The sequence below is a fragment of the Homo sapiens genome, chromosome 8 (assembly GCF_000001405.40).
Source record: "Homo sapiens chromosome 8, GRCh38.p14 Primary Assembly".
NCBI classification, from domain to species: Eukaryota; Metazoa; Chordata; class Mammalia; order Primates; family Hominidae; genus Homo; species Homo sapiens.
Window position 1 is genome coordinate 74,945,609 of NC_000008.11, and position 3,035 is coordinate 74,948,643.

Consider the following 3,035-nt stretch of genomic DNA (forward strand, 5'->3'; position numbering starts at 1 on the left):
GATTCATTTATTTTTTGAAGGGTTTTTTGTGTGTCTATTTCCTTCAGTTCTGCTCTGATTTTAGTTATTTCTTGCCTTCTGCTAGCTTTTGAATGTGTTTGCTCTTGCTTTTCTAGTTCTTTTAATTGTGATGTTAGGGTGTCAATTTTGGATTTTTCCTGCTTTCTCTTGTGGGCATTTAGTGCTATAAATTTCCCTCTACACACTGCTTTGAATGCGTCCCAGAGATTCTGGTATGTTGTGTCTTTGTTCTCATTGGTTTCAAAGAATATCTTTATTTCTGCCTTCATTTCGTTATGTACCCAGTAGTCATTCAGGAGCAGGTTGTTCAGTTTCCATGTAGCTGAGCGGCTTTGAGTGAGATTCTTAATCCTGAGTTCTAGTTTGATTGCACTGTGGTCTGAGAGATAGTTTGTTATAATTTCTGTTCTTTTACATTTGCTGAGGAGAGCTTTACTTCCAAGTATGTGGTCAATTTTGGAATAGGTGTGGTGTGGTGCTGAAAAAAATGTATATTCTGTTGATTTGGGGTGGAGAGTTCTGTAGATGTCTATTAGGTCTGCTTGGTGCAGAGCTGAGTTCAATTCCTGGGTATCCTTGTTGACTTTCTGTCTCGTTGATCTGTCTAATGTTGACAGTGGGGTGTTAAAGTCTCCCATTATTAATGTGTGGGAGTCTAAGTCTCTTTGTAGGTCACTCAGGACTTGCTTTATGAATCTCGGTGCTCCTATATTGGGTGCATATATATTTAGTATAGTTAGCTCTTCTTGTTGAATTGATCCCTTTACTATTATGTAATGGCCTACTTTGTCTCTTTTGATCTTTGTTGGTTTAAAGTCTGTTTTATCAGAGACTAGGATTGCAACCCCTGCCTTTTTTTGTTTTCCATTTGCTTGGTAGATCTTCCTCCATCCTTTTATTTTGAGCCTATGTGTGCCTCTGCATGTGAGATGGGTTTCCTGAATACAGCACACTGATGGGTCTTGACTCTTTATCCAATTTGCCAGTCTGTGTCTTTTAATTGGAGCATTTAGTCCATTTACATTTAAAGTTAATATTGTTATGTGTGAATTTGATCCTGTCATTATGATGTTGGCTGGTGATTTTCTCGTTAGTTGATGCAGTTTCTTCCTAGTCTCGATGGTCTTTACATTTTGGCATCATTTTGCAGCGGCTGGTACCGGTTGTTCCTTTCCATGTTTAGCGCTTCCTTCAGGAGCTCTTTTAGGGCAGGCCTGGTGGTGACAAAATCTCTCAGCATTTGCTTGTCTGTAAAGTATTTTATTTCTCCTTCACTTATGAAGCTTAGTTTGGCTGGATATGAAATTCTGGGTTGAAAATTCTTTTCTTTAAGAATGTTGAATATTGGCCCCCACTCTCTTCTGGCTCGTAGGGTTTCTGCCGAGAGATCCAATGTTAGCCTGATGGGCTTCCCTTTGAGGGTAACCCGACCTTTCTCTCTGGCTGCCCTTAACATTTTTTCCTTCATTTCAACTTTAGTGAATCTGACAATTATGTGTCTTGGAGTTGCTCTTCTTGAGGAGTATCTTTGTGGTGTTCTCTGTATTTCCTGAATCTGAACGTTGGCCTGCCTTGCTAGATTGGGGAAGTTCTCCTGGATAATATCCTGCAGAGTGTTTTCCAACTTGGTTCCATTCTCCCCATCACTTTCAGGTACACCAATCAGACGTAGATTTGGTCTTTTCACATAGTCCCATATTTCTTGGAGGCTTTGCTCATTTCTTTTTATTCTTTTTTCTCTAAACTTCCCTTCTTGCTTCATTTCATTCATTTCATCTTCCATTGCTGATACCCTTTCTTCCAGTTGTTCACATCGGCTCCTGAGGCTTCTGCATTCTTCACGTAGTTCTCGAGCCTTGGTTTTCAGCTCCATCAGCTCCTTTAAGCACTTCTCTGTATTGGTTATTCTAGTTATACATTCTTCTAAATTTTTTTCAAAGTTTTCAACTTCTTTGCCTTTGGTTTGAATGTCCTCCCGTAGCTCAGAGTAATTTGATCGTCTGAAGCCTTCTTCTCTCAGCTCATCAAAGTCATTCTCCATCCAGCTTTGTTCCGTTGCTGGTGAGGAACTGCGTTCCTTTGGAGGAGGAGAGGCGCTCTGCTTTTTAGAGTTTCCAGTTTTTCTGTTCTGTTTTTTCCCCATCTTTGTGGTTTTATCTACTTTTGGTCTTTGATGATGGTGATGTACAGATGGGTTTTTGGTGTGGATGTCCTTTCTGTTTGTTGGTTTTCCTTCTAACACACAGGACCCTCAGCTGCAGGTCTGTTGGAATACCCTGCTGTGTGAGGTGTCAGTGTGCCCCTGCTGGGGGGTGCCTCCCAGTTAGGCTGCTCGGGGGTCAGGGGTCAGGGACCCACTTGAGGAGGCAGTCTGCCCGTTCTCAGATCTCCAGCTGCGTGCTGGGAGAACCACTGCTCTCTTCAAAGCTGTCAGACAGGGACATTTAAGTCTGCAGAGGTTAATGCTGTCTTTTTGTTTGTCTGTGCCCTGCCCCCAGAGGTGGAGCCTACAGAGGCAGGCAGGCCTCCTTGAGCTGTGGTGGGCTCCACCCAGTTGGAGCTTCCCAGCTGCTTTGTTTACCTAAGCAAGCCTGGGCAATGGCGGGCGCCCCTCCCCCAGCCTCGCTGCCGCCTTGCAGTTTGATCTCAGACTGCTGTGCTAGCAATCAGCGAGACTCCGTGGGCGTAGGACCCTCCGAGCCAGGTGTGGGATATAGTCTCGTGGTTTGCCGTTTTTTAAGCCGGTCTGAAAAGCGCAATATTCGGGTGGGAGTGAGCCGCTTTTCCAGGTGCATCCGTCAACACTTTCTTTGACTCGGAAAGGGAACTCCCTGACCCCTTGCGCTTCCCAGGTGAGGCAATGCCTCACCCTGCTTCGGCTCGCGCACGGTGCGCGCACCCACTGGCCTGCGCCCACTGTCTGGCACTCCCTAGTGAGATGAACCCGGTACCTCAGATGGAAATGCAGAAATCACCCGTCTTCTGGGTCGCTCACGCTGGGAGCTGTAGACCGG

At 44.9% G+C, this 3,035-nt stretch overlaps 1 annotated feature.

Moving 5' to 3' along the window:
- Positions 2,142-2,779: an enhancer, noted in NCBI's record as "H3K27ac-H3K4me1 hESC enhancer chr8:75859985-75860622 (GRCh37/hg19 assembly coordinates)". NCBI's record gives its function as "activates a minimal SCP1, AML or CMV promoter by ChIP-STARR-seq in primed H9 embryonic stem cells {active_cell/tissue: H9 hESC(primed)}" and the evidence as "EXISTENCE:reporter gene assay evidence [ECO:0000049][PMID:30033119]".